The sequence below is a fragment of the Homo sapiens genome, chromosome 7 (genome assembly GCF_000001405.40).
Source record: "Homo sapiens chromosome 7, GRCh38.p14 Primary Assembly".
In the NCBI taxonomy this organism is placed as follows: domain Eukaryota; kingdom Metazoa; phylum Chordata; class Mammalia; order Primates; family Hominidae; genus Homo; species Homo sapiens.
The window spans coordinates 100,307,702-100,323,475 of record NC_000007.14 but is presented as its reverse complement, the minus strand read 5'-3'; the positions used below and the strand labels follow the sequence as shown (position 1 = coordinate 100,323,475).

The window sequence follows — 15,774 nt, the reverse complement described above, 5'->3', positions numbered from 1 at the left end:
AGGAACTTTCTTTTTTTCTTTTTTTTCTTTTTTTTTTTGTGATGGAGTCTCGCTCTGTCACCCAGGCTGGAGTGCAGTGGCGCGATCTCAGCTCACTGCAGGCTCCACCTCCTGGGTTCACACCATTCTCCTGCCTCAGCCTCCGGAGTAGCTGGGACTATAGGCGCCTGCCACCGCGCCCAGCTAATTTTTTGTATTTTTAGCAGAGATGGGGTTTCACCATATTAGCCAGGATGGTCTTGATCTCCTGACCTTGTGATCCGCCCGCCTCAGCCTCCCAAAGTGCTGGGATTACAGTCCTGAGCCACCGCGCCTGGCCCTTTTTTTTTTTTTTTTTTTTGAGAGGGGTTGGGGAGACATATTCTCTGCTGGTGATTCTCCTGCCTGGTCTCGAACTCCTGCTGGGATCACAGGCGTGAGCCACCACGCCCAGCCACCTTTAGAGTTTTCTTACCACCTGGTTTTCCTCTCTCAATATCTTTCTCTCATTTCCTGCTTTAAAACTCTAGCCTGGGGTCTGGGCGCAGTAGCTCATGCCTATAATCCCAGCACTTTGGGAGACTGAGGCGGGTGGATCACTTGAGGTCAGGAGTTTGAGACCAGCCTGGCCAACATGGTGAAACCTTGTCTCTACTATTTTTACAAAAGTTAGTCAGACGTACAGGCGGGTGCCTGTAGTCCCAGCTACTTGGGAGGCTGAGGCAGGAGAATTTGCTTGAACGCGGAGGTGAAAGTTGCAGGGAGCCGAGGTTGTGCCACTGCACTCCAGCCTGGGAGACAGAGCGAGACTGTCTCCAAAACAAACAAACAAACAAACAAAAAAACCCTGTAGCTTGGGATCAGCCTTCTCTTCTATTGTTTTTCTTTAAAAAATAAAAATTAAAAATAGGCTTCAAGTGATCCTCCCGCCATGACCTCCAAAACTGCTGGGATTGTAGGTGTGAGCACTGCACCCAGCCTTATGTTTTTTTCTACATAAAAAACAACACAGGATTATCTTCCAGAGCTAATAAATATGTTCAAATAACCACAACCCCATTAAGGAAAAATGTCACTTGACAGCAAATAATCAATCCAGACCACAATATGATCACACTCACTGTGAAGGTGAGAAAAGTTCATCTTTATTATGTTTCCCCAAGAGATGCACTGCACTGTTCTCTTGAAAACACACAGCTCATGTCCTCCTTTAGAACACACATCCTCTTTAAAGTAACATACAAACATGCCAAAACAAGATAAAAAATTCCATCTGAATTCTCACATTTCAAACATACACTAAATATCAAATAAAAATTTATTTTTACAAGAATTTAGGGGAACTACCACATAGCTATAAATGTAATATATACATTAACTAAGTATCATAGATAAAAAGTCTGCTCCCTTCAGCAGCATATGTAGTAATAGATACAAAGATTGAAAGGTAAAAGATTTAGGATAAAAAGAATCCTCTCTTAAAAAGGAAAACAAAATTATATTTATGTGTATATAACAGTTATAATACCCATCACACAGCTTTATAGAAACAGCATCTATTCAAAAATACCAGTATTTCCAAAATATTTAAAATAATATTTAAAGTAATAACATTTAAATAAATAAATATATTTAATAAATATTTAAATAAATAAATATATTTAATAAATATTTAAATAAATAAAATAATATTTAAATAATTCTTTGCCCATCTTTTTCGAAATAAATCAATAAAATAGATAGTATATATTAGACATGTTAGTATATATATCTAAGACATGTTAAAAATCACAACTGAATTCTCACAATTCAGTCACAAACCTAAACAGCAAATAAAAATTTCTATGACCAGAATTTGGGGGAACTACCAATAGCTATAAATAGAAGAGATTATTATGGAAGTATCATAGATAAAAAGAGTGCTCGCTTCAGGAGCACATATAATAATACAGAGAAAAATTTAAAGATAATAAAAGATTTAGGATAAAAAGAATTCTCACTTAAAAATGAAAAGAAAATTATCTTTATGTATATATAACAACTATAACTCTCATCAAAAAACTCTACAGGAACAGCATGTTTTCAAAAGTACAACAATTTCCAAACTATTTGAAATAAACCTATTAATGATTCAATGGCCAACATTTTCCAAACAAACCAATAAAATGCATAGTGTGCATGAAGCTATCTGTTACAGTCTGTGGCACTCATATTTCACAAAGAATTCTGTGCCAATCTGAGCCCCTGCACTGTGCCTTCAAATGCTCCTGGACTGTGGCAACCAAGTCCGTAAGAAACAGGACCTCCAGGTTCCGCCCCAGGGAGGTTGGCATTCAGCAATATAAAAAGGGAGGTGGTGCCGCAGGAAAGGGTGGAACTGGAAACACTCCTGGTTTCTTACTTTTCTCCAAGGACTCCTAGAAGTACCCCACCCCACCCCTGCTCCTTGGAGGACAACGTGATCACTGTATTCAGCTCTGTCAAGAATGGTCCAGGTTCTTCTAGATGATCTGCACAAATGGCTCCTCTCCTCCTTCCTGATGTCTGCCATTAGCACTGGAATAAAGTTCCTGCTGAAAATCCACATCTCCCCTGGGTCCGGTGTTCTGGAAGTGAGAGAGACAATGTCACACCTCAAGGAGACAGCTCTCTAGACAGGAAGGTTATTCACGTCCCATGTCAAGTCTAGCTAGAGTTCAGAGCAATTGAGAAGTGCGATTTTATCTCCTGCCTTTCATTCTATACCCTGCTTCTGAACCATCGTGTTCAACTGTGAAACTCACGCTTTGGTGACCCTGACTCCAAAACTTAATACACCCAAGGTCAGCCCCAGTGATCTGCTTCATAGCGAGGACTTTGGGTGGGTCTTCCCAGGGAGTAGGGCACCCTCAGAGAATGTGGCTTTGGACTTCATCACAGCTAGGGTCTTTTGTGTCACTTCAGATCTAAACTTGTAACTGTGCTAGATCTGTTTCTAATGTGACAACATCACAAACCACGAGTCCAGAAGCCTAATCCATAATCCTACCTCCTCATGACGAAGTCTCATGCTCTGTGCTCAACATGGTTAGCTGCACAAGATGTAAACCAAAGCTTCACTGAACCCTCGACCCAAATCGGTAACTCAAGTGCATCAATCATAAAGAACCTCCCCGAACTCAGTATTTATGATTATTTTTGAGGCAGGGTCTCACTCTGTCGCCCCGGCTGGAGTGCAGTGGCAGGATCAGGGCTCCCTGCAGCCCCGACCTCCCAGGCTCCAGCGATCCTCCTGCCTCAGCCTCTTGAGTAGTTGGGAGTAGAGATGCCTCCCACATCGCCTGGCTAATTTTTGTATTTTTGTGGAGAGGGGATATCTCGCCACGTTGCCGAGGCTTGAAGCCAGATCAAGCAATTGGGTTCCTTGGATTTCCGAAATAGACCCCAATATTCTGCCTTTACCCCGGAGGATGCAGATGTACCTTCTCTCAGGCCGATGACCTCAGGCCTCCACGGTCCCTGGAGCTCTAGGAAAGGTGGGCGCGATCTCGCGCCCACACCCAGTGCTCTGGGTCATAAGCCTGGATCTGGAAAAACAAATGCGCTTTGAGAAGACGGGGACTCCCCAGGATACCCCTCTCTCCCCTCGTCCAGCCTCCAGCCCACCCGATTCCTCCCCACATCCTCCACCTCCCCAGGCCCCACCCACCTCCTCCAACTCCTCCGGGGAAACCCAAGCCCTGCAGCGCATGGAACAGAAGAACTGGAACCGACGCTTCTGGAACAAGGCTATCTGAGAGCAGTTCTTCCTGGCCCTCGGGTTCATGGGACGGCATAACTGGAACCAATGCTTAGGGCGCAAGGGTATGTGAGAGTGGGTCTTCCCGTACAGGAAGTAGAAGATCTTTTGTTTGGGGGCCTCGTCGTCCTCCTCCATGTCATTGGCCAGATAGCTGAGGACAGAAATCAGGTTGCTGCTCAGGGGCACCACCAGGAGAGACCTCCGGCTGAGGTCAGCTTCCCAGAGAGGAAGGTAAGGGACCGTCCCTAGCTCAGGACTGGCACCCACCCTGCAGAGAGCCACGCCTTCCTCAGGAGGGCTCTGCTGGACAGAGACCTGATCAAGGGCATCTCCCACTCCTTCAGGATGGAGACAAAAACCCAACTGGTGACCAAGAGTGGTGGCTTAGGCCTGGAATCCCAGCACACTGGGAGGCCGAAGCAGGAGGATCACTTGAGGCCAGGAGTTTGAGACAGGCCTGGGCAACATAGCAAGACCCTTGTCTCTATTAAAAATATAAAAAATACGCCAGACGTGGTGGCTCATGCCTGTAATCCCAGCACTTTGGAAGGCTGAAGCAGGTGGATTGCTTGAGACCAGGAGTTTGAGACCAGCCTGGCCAACACAGAGAAACCCCATTTATGCTAAAAATACAAAAATCAGCCTGGTGCGGTGGCACACCCATTAGTCCTAGCTACTCAAGAGGCTGAAGCATAAGAATTGTGTGAACCCAGGAGGCGGAGGTTGCAGTGAGCCAAGATTGGGCCCCTCCATTCCAGCCTGAGAGACACAGCAACACTCTTGTCTTGATAAATAAATAAATAAATAAATAAATAAATAAATAAATAACTGTCCAGGTGTGGTGGCACAGCCCTGTAGTCGGAGCTAATCAAGAGGCTGAGGTGGGAGGATCGCTTGAGCCCAGGATATGGAGGCTGCGGTGAGCTATGATCTCACCACTGCACTCCAGCTTAGGGGACAGGGCAAGTCTGTCTCAAAAAAAAAAAAAAAGCAATTGAATACATTGATATTTTGCCAGGACCCTGCCTTCTACAGGCATCTAGTCTAATGGGACTGGGAGTAATCAGGGGAGATGACCTAATCCCAATGTCACATTATAAGAGGATGTAACTGGAGAGCTACGGGCATGCAGAAGTTGGAAGATGAGGGAAGGCATCACAGAGGCTGTGGGGTGAACCGACTTCAAGGAATGGGTGCTTCCCTTCAGAACCACATGTGTGTGGGACACCCAGACAGAAAACACGAATGCAAAGTCAAGTGGAGGGCATTTGGAAGGAGCAGTGAAGCCAAGCCAGGAAACACCAAGATGGCGAGCCAGTGTGGTTGTAGAGATTGTAGAGAGGGTGGAATTGGCACTGTGGACCCTGGCCTCGATAGAGAAAGACATCAGCTAAGGAAGTTGTTCAGGTGGGCAGTGAGGTTGTCGTGCTTTGGAAAGATGTTCAGGCTGCACTAGGAAGCCCCTTGGCTTGGGGAGAGACTCCAGGAGACCCCAGCAGGGAGCATTTGACAGTGGATTCAAGTGATGCAAGGGGGACCTGGACTGTGACCTCTGTCACGGGAACCCAGAGGAGGTTGGTGGCTTTTGCGGTTGATGTGGGAAGGAGAGAGAGAGAAGAACCGGAAACGTCTGCTTGCTGGGGGAAGTGTCATGTCCGCTCCTCCGCTCCTTTTGTTCTCCCCTTAGGAGCGGTTCATGGTTCCTTTTGTTTTTTGTTCTTTTTTTTTTTTTTTTTTTTTGAGACGGAGTCTCATTCTGTCGCCCAGGCTGGAGTGCAGTGGTGCAATCTCGGCTCACTGCAAGCTCCGCCTCCCAGGTTCACGCCATTCTCCTCCCTCAGCCTCCCGAGTAGCTGGGACTACAGGTGCCCGCCACCACACCTGGCTAATTTTTTGTATTTTTTTTTTTTTTTAAGTGGAGACAGGGTTTCACCATGTTAGCCAGGATGGTTTTGCTCTCCTGACCTTGTGATCTGCCCACCTCGGCCTCCCAAACTGTTGAGATTACAGGCGTGAGCCACCGCACCTGGCCTGTTTTACTCTTTTATTTGTACACTGGCATTGGAGTTTGGTTTTTTTGCCTGTTTTTTTTTTTTTGGCTCTTTTGTTTTTAGAAAAAGTCTCACTCTGTTGCCCAGGCTGGAGTGCAGTGGCTCAACCTTAGCTTACTGCAACCTCCACCTCCTGGGTTCAAGGGGTTCTCATGCCTCAGCCTCCCAAGTAGCTTGGATAACAGGTGCACACCAACATGCCCGACTGATTTTTCTATTTTTAGTAGAGACGGGGTTTGCCATGTTGGCCAGGCTGGTCTCAAACTCCTGACCTCAGGTGATCCGCTTGCCTCGGCCTCCCAAAGTGCTGGGATTACAGGCCTGAGCCACCATGCCCAGCCTGAGTTTCTTTTTAGAGACAACAGTCTAAGATACTATAATCCTGTCTTTTTTGTACACAGAGTAAAGAGGACAAATAGGTGAAAGAATAAATGAAAGGCTGGAATCCCACTTCCCCCGCTGTCCCAGGGCGTTGGATATTGATGGATAGGAGGCAGCAAACCACTCACAGAGCCAGGAAGAAATGAATGCGTTGGTATTGCCAGGAGGGGAGGCCGGCCCGGCTGAAATACGCTATGACCATAGCCAGGAGATACTGATGGAGAGAAAGGAACACAGAGAGGGAGAGGTCACATCTTGGGAGAGGAAGATTGTGGAGATAGTGGAATGGGGGTCTGGGGAGGGGTTGCCCATCAGAGAAGGGACCTCAGCATTGGGGTGACTGTGCTCATGTGGAAATTGCGGGGTGGAGGGGTATTCGAAGGTCGGATGCAAATCCGAGAAGCCGGAGGAAGGGTTTTAGGTGATGCTCCCAGGATGGTGGGCTCCGATGGGATCTTTGGAGGGGGTGTGTCTAGGTCGGCTGGTGTCAGGAGGGTCTTTTGTGTGCCAGGCAGAGAACTGTCCCAAGGAGCTGAGAGTAGAGGGCCCAGGAGCTTCAGGACTGCAGCCAGACGGTGGCCTAGGGCTCAGATCCCAAAGGACCCATGGGAGAGGCAGGGGCCACTCATTCACTCTGCAAGAGACCAGCAGAGTCCTGAGGGAGATGCTGACAAATCATAAAAAGACAAAGAATAGCCGGGAGTGGCGGCTCAAGCCTGTGATCCCAGTACTTTTTGAGAGGTGGAGACAGGAGGATCACATGAGCCCAACAGTTGGAGAACAACCTGGGCAACACAGCGAGACCCTGTTTCTACGAAGATTTCAAAAATTCGTTGAGCATGGTGGCATGTGCCTAGTCCCAGCTCCTCAGGAGGCTAAGGAAAGAGGATTGCTTGAGCCCAGGAATTAGAGTGAGCTATGATCATGCCACTGTACTCCATCCTGGGGAGCAGAGCTGGACTCTGTCTCAGAAAAAAAAATGTGTGGGTGCCAAGACTCAAGACCATGGGAGCTGGTCGGACACAGTGCTGACGTCTGTAATCTCAGCACTTTGGGAGGCCAAGGCGGGTGGATCACCTGAGGTCAGGTGTTCGGGACCAATCTGGCCAACATGGCAAAACCCCGTCTCTACTAAAAACACAAAAATTAGCCAGGCGTGGTGGTTCACGTTTGTAATCCCAGCTGCTTGGAGGCTGAGGCAGGAGAATCGCTTGAACCCAGGAGGCATCAGCTGCAGTGAGTCAAGATCGAGACACTGCCCTCCAGCCTGGGCAACAGAGCAAGACTGTGTCTCACAAAAAAAAACAAAAACAAAAACAAAAAAAACTGTAGGAGCATCTGGTGGGAGGTGGTGGAGGGAGAACTGTGGGTTTGGAAGCTGCGCCCTCCCCCTGGCCGTGCGTTAGAACAGGAACACAGTTACATAGAGAACAACCTTACCTTGTCTGACACCCTCAGATCTTTGTCCCAGGCCAGGAATCTTTTAATGACAGGATCCTCTGTGATTAGAGAGCAGATGTCAGCGTGAGAAGCAGGACAGGGTTTCCATGGGAGCAGCAGGGCAGTGAGGAGAAGTGTGCCTCCCGGGGGAAAGTCTCAGGATTGTGGCCGCGGGTGAGGTGGATGGGAGAGGGGAGAATGACTTTCACTGGGCAAGGGAGAGAGGCTCCTGCTCTGAGACTCCCCTGAGAAGAGGCCGAAGGAGGCCCTGGGTGTGAGAATCTACAGGATGTAGAGCTGGGAATCAGCCGGGACCCCCTCCAGCAGACACGGAGGGACCACTGCAGAGTCATAAAGGAATTCCCATCATTTCCTCATGAGACAGTCACACATCAGGGTGTGACCATGGCCTTGGTATCCCCCACTATGGATGGAGACACTTAGGTTTAGAAAAGTCAGTAAGAAACATTAAGTTTCAGAGGGCACAGCTGAAACCACTTTTTTGATTTTTGATTTTGTTTTTCTTTGTTTGATTTTTATTTTTATTTATTTATTAATTTATTTTGAGACAGAGTCTTGCTCTGTGGGCCAGGCTGGAATGCATTGGCCTGATCTTGGCTCACTGCAACCTCTGCCTCCTGGGTTTAAGCAATTCTCCTGTCTCAGCCTCCCGAGTAGCTGGAACTACAGGCATGAGCTACTGTGCCCAGCCTTGGTTTTTCTTTTGACGCAGAGTTTTGCTCTGTCACCCAGGCTGGAGTGCAGTGGTGCAGTCATAGCTCACTGCAGCCTCAAAGTCCTGAGTTCAAGCAATTCTCTTGCCTCAGCCTCCCAACGTGCTGGGATCTCAGGCGGGAGCCACAGCGCCTGGCCCAAAACCAAGCTTTCTTATCCCAAGCACCGACCTTTATCAAGTCTACCTAATCCTCTGTTGACTCCTAAGTGTCCCTCATGAGTGATCACTTCAGAGTCCTCCCGCATGGAGAGCTCACCCACTGGGGCATATTTTTCCCATTGGAAAAGTGTGGTTATTGGAAGTTTCCTCTTTTTAGAAAGAACAGGATTGGAGGTGCTCTCTGGGGTGTCCTCCTACCAAGCAGCCTGTTGAAGGCCTCGTAGTACTCAGGGAGCACGAGCGACACTCGCCGTCGCTTCGCCTTCATCTTGAGGCCACACAGCGTCTCCGCCACCCAGGTCTCCTCAGGCTCAGGGGCGAGCTCCTTCTCTGGCTCATCATCAGATTCATCCAAACACTCCCTCTTCCTTTTGCAGCCAAGGGACCTACGCGGGGGGCTGGGATCTACCCCAGGGGCTGAGTAAAGAAACCAGGCCACCGTGTAATGCTTCTGCAACTGATCACGTTAGACCCCGACCCCAAACCCCAAACCACTCTCCATCCTCCCCAGCCTCTCAGACTGCTGGCTTCTCCAAGCCACCTTTCTGACTTTCTCCTCTGCTCAACCCCATGTGCCACTCCTTCCCCTCCCCATTCTTCCCTCTCTCTGTCCTCAGAACACTGCGTCATATCGTTCCCTGGTCCCTGGCTCTCTGAGGCCCTCTTTTTTTTTTTGTTTCGAGACAGAATCTTGCTTTGTCACCCAGGCTGGAGTGTAGTGGTGCAATCTCAGCTGACTGCAACATCTATCTCCCGGATTCCAGTTATTCTCCTGCCTCAGCCTCTCAGGTAGCTGGGATTACAGGTGCCTGCCATAATGCCCAGCTCAATTTTGTACTTTTAGTAGAGACGGGGGTTTCACCATGTTGGCCAGGCTGGTCTCAAACTCCTGGCCTCACGTGATCCGCCTGCCTTGGCTTCCCAAAGTGCTGGGATTACAGGTGTGAGCCACTGCACCCAGCCTGAATTTCTCCATTCTTCCCACACACCCTCCCCAGGTTCTCCTTCCTGACCTCTGACCCTTCTTTTTTTTCTTCTTCTTTTTTTTTTTTTTTTTTTTTTGAGACAGCGTCTCACTCTCTCACCCAGACTGGAGTGCAGTAGCACGATCTCGGCTCACTGCACCCTCTTCCTCCCAGGCTCAAGCGATTCTCCTGTCTCAGCCTCCCGAGTAGCTGGAACTACAGGCATGAGCTACTGTGCCCAGCCTTGGTTTTTCTTTTGACGCAGAGTTTTGCTCTGTCACCCAGGCTGGAGTGCAGTGGTGCAGTCATAGCTCACTGCAGCCTCAAAGTCCTGAGTTCAAGCAATCCTCTTGCCTCAGCCTCCCAACGTGCTGGGATCTCAGGCGGGAGCCACAGCGCCTGGCCCAAAACCAAGCTTTCTTATCCCAAGCACCGACCTTTATCAAGTCTACCTAATCCTCTGTTGTCTCCTAAGTGTCCCTCATGAGTGATCACTTCAGAGTCCTCCCGCATGGAGAGCTCACCCACTGGGGCATATTATTCCCATTGGAAAAGTGTGGTTATTGGAAGTTTCCTCTTTTTAGAAAGAACAGGATTGGAGGTGCTCTCTGGGGTGTCCTCCTACCAAGCAGCCTGTTGAAGGCCTCGTAGTACTCAGGGAGCACGAGCGACACTCGCCGTCGCTTCGCCTTCATCTTGAGGCCACACAGCGTCTCCGCCACCCAGGTCTCCTCAGGCTCAGGGGCGAGCTCCTTCTCTGGCTCATCATCAGATTCATCCAAACACTCCCTCTTCCTTTTGCAGCCAAGGGACCTACGTGGGGGGCTGGGATCTACCCCAGGGGCTGAGTAAAGAAACCAGGCCACCGTGTAATGCTTCTGCAACTGATCACGTTAGACCCCGACCCCAAACCCCAAACCACTCTCCATCCTCCCCAGCCTCGCAGACTGCTGGCTTCTCCAAGCCACCTTTCTGACTTTCTCCTCTGCTCAACCCCATGTGCCACTCCTTCCCCTCCCCATTCTTCCCTCTCTCTGTCCTCAGAACACTGCGACATATCGTTCCCTGGTCCCTGGCTCTCTGAGGCCCTCTTTTTTTTTTTTGTTTCGAGACAGAATCTTGCTTTGTCACCCAGGCTGGAGTGTAGTGGTGCAATCTCAGCTGACTGCAACATCTATCTCCCGGATTCCAGTTATTCTCCTGCCTCAGCCTCTCAGGTAGCTGGGATTACAGGTGCCTGCCATAATGCCCAGCTCAATTTTGTACTTTTAGTAGAGACGGGGGTTTCACCATGTTGGCCAGGCTGGTCTCAAACTCCTGGCCTCACGTGATCCGCCTGCCTTGGCTTCCCAAAGTGCTGGGATTACAGGTGTGAGCCACTGCACCCAGCCTGAATTTCTCCATTCTTCCCACACACCCTCCCCAGGTTCTCCTTCCTGACCTCTGACCCTTCTTTTTTCTCTTCTTCTTTTTTTTTTTTTTTTTTTGAGACAGCGTCTCACTCTCTCACCCAGACTGGAGTGCAGTAGCACGATCTTGGCTCACTGCACCCTCTTCCTCCCAGGCTCAAGCGATTCTCCTGTCTCAGCCTCCCGAGTAGCTGGAACTACAGGCATGAGCTACTGTGCCCAGCCTTGGCTTTTCTTTTGACGCAGAGTTTTGCTCTGTCACCCAGGCTGGAGTGCAGTGGTGCAGTCATAGCTCACTGCAGCCTCAAAGTCCTGAGTTCAAGCAATCCTCTTGCCTCAGCCTCCCAACGTGCTGGGATCTCAGGCGGGAGCCACAGCGCCTGGCCCAAAACCAAGCTTTCTTATCCCAAGCACCGACCTTTATCAAGTCTACCTAATCCTCTGTTGACTCCTAAGTGTCCCTCATGAGTGATCACTTCAGAGTCCTCCCGCATGGAGAGCTCACCCACTGGGGCATATTTTTCCCATTGGAAAAGTGTGGTTATTGGAAGTTTCCTCTTTTTAGAAAGAACAGGATTGGAGGTGCTCTCTGGGGTGTCCTCCTACCAAGCAGCCTGTTGAAGGCCTCGTAGTACTCAGGGAGCACGAGCGACACTCGCCGTCGCTTCGCCTTCATCTTGAGGCCACACAGCGTCTCTGCCACCCAGGTCTCCTCAGGCTCAGGGGCGAGCTCCTTCTCTGGCTCATCATCAGATTCATCCAAACACTCCCTCTTCCTTTTGCAGCCAAGGGACCTACGTGGGGGGCTGGGATCTACCCCAGGGGCTGAGTAAAGAAACCAGGCCACCGTGTAATGCTTCTGCAACTGATCACGTTAGACCCCGACCCCAAACCCCAAACCATTCTCCATCCTCCCCAGCCTCTCAGACTGCTGGCTTCTCCAAGCCACCTTTCTGACTTTCTCCTCTGCTCAACCCCATGTGCCACTCCTTCCCCTCCCCATTCTTCCCTCTCTCTGTCCTCAGAACACTGCGTCATATCCTTCCCTGGTCCCTGGCTCTCTGAGGCCCTCTTTTTTTTTTTTGTTTCGAGACAGAATCTTGCTTTGTCACCCAGGCTGGAGTGTAGTGGTGCAATCTCAGCTGACTGCAACATCTATCTCCCGGATTCCAGTTATTCTCCTGCCTCAGCCTCTCAGGTAGCTGGGATTACAGGTGCCTGCCATAATGCCCAGCTCAATTTTGTACTTTTAGTAGAGACGGGGGTTTCACCATGTTGGCCAGGCTGGTCTCAAACTCCTGGCCTCACGTGATCCGCCTGCCTTGGCTTCCCAAAGTGCTGGGATTACAGGTGTGAGCCACTGCACCCAGCCTGAATTTCTCCATTCTTCCCACACACCCTCCCCAGGTTCTCCTTCCTGACCTCTGACCCTTCTTTTTTTTCTTCTTCTTTTTTTTTTTTTTTTTTTGAGACAGCGTCTCACTCTCTCACCCAGACTGGAGTGCAGTAGCACGATCTCGGCTCACTGCACCCTCTTCCTCCCAGGCTCAAGCGATTCTCCTGTCTCAGCCTCCCGAGTAGCTGGAACTACAGGCATGAGCTACTGTGCCCAGCCTTGGTTTTTCTTTTGACGCAGAGTTTTGCTCTGTCACCCAGGCTGGAGTGCAGTGGTGCAGTCATAGCTCACTGCAGCCTCAAAGTCCTGAGTTCAAGCAATCCTCTTGCCTCAGCCTCCCAACGTGCTGGGATCTCAGGCGGGAGCCACAGCGCCTGGCCCAAAACCAAGCTTTCTTATCCCAAGCACCGACCTTTATCAAGTCTACCTAATCCTCTGTTGTCTCCTAAGTGTCCCTCATGAGTGATCACTTCAGAGTCCTCCCGCATGGAGAGCTCACCCACTGGGGCATATTTTTCCCATTGGAAAAGTGTGGTTATTGGAAGTTTCCTCTTTTTAGAAAGAACAGGATTGGAGGTGCTCTCTGGGGTGTCCTCCTACCAAGCAGCCTGTTGAAGGCCTCGTAGTACTCAGGGAGCACGAGCGACACTCGCCGTCGCTTCGCCTTCATCTTGAGGCCACACAGCGTCTCCGCCACCCAGGTCTCCTCAGGCTCAGGGGCGAGCTCCTTCTCTGGCTCATCATCAGATTCATCCAAACACTCCCTCTTCCTTTTGCAGCCAAGGGACCTACGTGGGGGGCTGGGATCTACCCCAGGGGCTGAGTAAAGAAACCAGGCCACCGTGTAATGCTTCTGCAACTGATCACGTTAGACCCCGACCCCAAACCCCAAACCACTCTCCATCCTCCCCAGCCTCTCAGACTGCTGGCTTCTCCAAGCCACCTTTCTGACTTTCTCCTCTGCTCAACCCCATGTGCCACTCCTTCCCCTCCCCATTCTTCCCTCTCTCTGTCCTCAGAACACTGCGTCATATCGTTCCCTGGTCCCTGGCTCTCTGAGGCCCTCTTTTTTTTTTCTGTTTCGAGACAGAATCTTGCTTTGTCACCCAGGCTGGAGTGTAGTGGTGCAATCTCAGCTGACTGCAACATCTATCTCCCGGATTCCAGTTATTCTCCTGCCTCAGCCTCTCAGGTAGCTGGGATTACAGGTGCCTGCCATAATGCCCAGCTCAATTTTGTACTTTTAGTAGAGACGGGGGTTTCACCATGTTGGCCAGGCTGGTCTCAAACTCCTGGCCTCACGTGATCCACCTGCCTTGGCTTCCCAAAGTGCTGGGATTACAGGTGTGAGCCACTGCACCCAGCCTGAATTTCTCCATTCTTCCCACACACCCTCCCCAGGTTCTCCTTCCTGACCTCTGACCCTTCTTTTTTTTCTTCTTTTTTTTTTTTTTTTTTGAGACAGCGTCTCACTCTCTCACCCAGACTGGAGTGCAGTAGCACGATCTCGGCTCACTGCACCCTCTTCCTCCCAGGCTCAAGCGATTCTCCTGTCTCAGCCTCCCGAGTAGCTGGAACTACAGGCATGAGCTACTGTGCCCAGCCTTGGTTTTTCTTTTGACGCAGAGTTTTGCTCTGTCACTCAGGCTGGAGTGCAGTGGTGCAGTCATAGCTCACTGCAGCCTCGAAGTCCTGAGTTCAAGCAATCCTCTTGCCTCAGCCTCCCAACGTGCTGGGATCTCAGGCGGGAGCCACAGCGCCTGGCCCAAAACCAAGCTTTCTTATCCCAAGCACCGACCTTTATCAAGTCTACCTAATCCTCTGTTGTCTCCTAAGTGTCCCTCATGAGTGATCACTTCAGAGTCCTCCCGCATGGAGAGCTCACCCACTGGGGCATATTTTTCCCATTGGAAAAGTGTGGTTATTGGAAGTTTCCTCTTTTTAGAAAGAACAGGATTGGAGGTGCTCTCTGGGGTGTCCTCCTACCAAGCAGCCTGTTGAAGGCCTCGTAGTACTCAGGGAGCACGAGCGACACTCGCCGTCGCTTCGCCTTCATCTTGAGGCCACACAGCGTCTCCGCCACCCAGGTCTCCTCAGGCTCAGGGGCGAGCTCCTTCTCTGGCTCATCATCAGATTCATCCAAACACTCCCTCTTCCTTTTGCAGCCAAGGGACCTACGTGGGGGGCTGGGATCTACCCCAGGGGCTGAGTAAAGAAACCAGGCCACCGTGTAATGCTTCTGCAACTGATCACGTTAGACCCCGACCCCAAACCCCAAACCATTCTCCATCCTCCCCAGCCTCTCAGACTGCTGGCTTCTCCAAGCCACCTTTCTGACTTTCTCCTCTGCTCAACCCCATGTGCCACTCCTTCCCCTCCCCATTCTTCCCTCTCTCTGTCCTCAGAACACTGCGTCATATCGTTCCCTGGTCCCTGGCTCTCTGAGGCCCTCTTTTTTTTTTTTTGTTTCGAGACAGAATCTTGCTTTGTCACCCAGGCTGGAGTGTAGTGGTACAATCTCAGCTCACTGCAACATCCATCTCCCGGATTCCAGTTATTCTCCTGCCTCAGCCTCTCAGGTAGCTGGGATTACAGGTGCCTGCCATAATGCCCAGCTCAATTTTGTACTTTTAGTAGAGACGGGGTTTCGCCATGTTGGCCAGGCTGGTCTCAAACTCTTGGCCTCACGTGATCCGCCTGCCTTGGCTTCCCAAAGTGCTGGGATTACAGGTGTGAGCCACTGCACCCAGCCTGAATTTCTCCATTCTTCCCACACACCCTCCCCAGGTTCTCCTTCCTGACCTCTGACCCTTCTTTTTTTTCTTCTTCTTTTTTTTTTTTTTTTTTTGAGACAGCGTCTCACTCTCTCACCCAGACTGGAGTGCAGTAGCACGATCTCGGCTCACTGCACCCTCTTCCTCCCAGGCTCAAGCGATTCTCCTGTCTCAGCCTCCCGAGTAGCTGGGATTATAGGCACACACCACTACCGCCTGGCTAATTTTTGTACTTTTAGTAGAGATGGGGTTTCACCATGTTGGCCAGGCTGGTCTTGAACTGCTGACCTCAGGTGATCTGCCCGCCTCGGCCTCCCAAAGTGTTGGTGTTACAGGGGTGAGCTACCGCACCTGGCCCCCTTCCTTCGTCTTAGTCAATCCTATGCCACCTCTTCTTCCTCCAGTCCCCTCACCTGATGGTCCCGACACTTCATCATCCACCACCTCCTGGAGGGGGTACCCTGAGGTGCTCCGCTGGGGGCTCTGCTCTTCCTGGGGCTGCGGTTGATGGCTCGTCATGATCTTTCCCAAAATCTGTCCAATCTCACCGAAGCTAGTCTCTGTTCTGTCCTTGGTCTTCTTCTGGACACTGCTGGGATCCAGAAGAGTGTGTTATCAATTCTCGAGGCTGGGAGAAGTCAGGAGTGGAGAACAGCTCTGAGAAGTTACTGTTGTTCACCTGAACTGCCAGGCGCCGACAGAG

General features: G+C 50.4%; 1 protein-coding gene and 1 pseudogene across 3 annotated transcripts in view; one reads left to right on the top strand and one right to left on the bottom strand.

Annotated features, from left to right (window-relative positions):
* Positions 1-2,836, top strand: part of PMS2P1 (PMS1 homolog 2, mismatch repair system component pseudogene 1) — a 15,668-nt pseudogene extending 12,832 nt beyond the window's left edge. The window contains exon 7 of the transcript NR_003613.1: positions 2,392-2,836. The product of NR_003613.1 is annotated as a PMS1 homolog 2, mismatch repair system component pseudogene 1 (transcript). The remainder of the gene's footprint in view (positions 1-2,391) is intronic.
* Positions 1,280-15,774, bottom strand: SPDYE3 (speedy/RINGO cell cycle regulator family member E3). Of its 2 annotated transcripts, NM_001004351.5 has the most exons (11): positions 15,485-15,774; positions 14,284-14,502; positions 12,898-13,116; positions 11,508-11,726; positions 10,118-10,336; positions 8,726-8,944; positions 7,633-7,691; positions 6,321-6,406; positions 3,668-3,911; positions 3,441-3,545; positions 1,280-2,585 (listed from the first exon to the last, which is right to left on the bottom strand). In NM_001004351.5, the coding sequence occupies exons 1-10, from the start codon at positions 15,588-15,590 to the stop codon at positions 3,486-3,488; spliced, it is 1,650 nt and encodes a 549-aa protein (NP_001004351.3). In that variant the 5' UTR covers positions 15,591-15,774; the 3' UTR covers positions 1,280-2,585; positions 3,441-3,485. The 2 variants fall into 2 exon arrangements, with proteins under 2 accessions (NP_001004351.3, XP_047276360.1); XM_047420404.1 differs by having other exon boundaries at positions 2,580-3,545.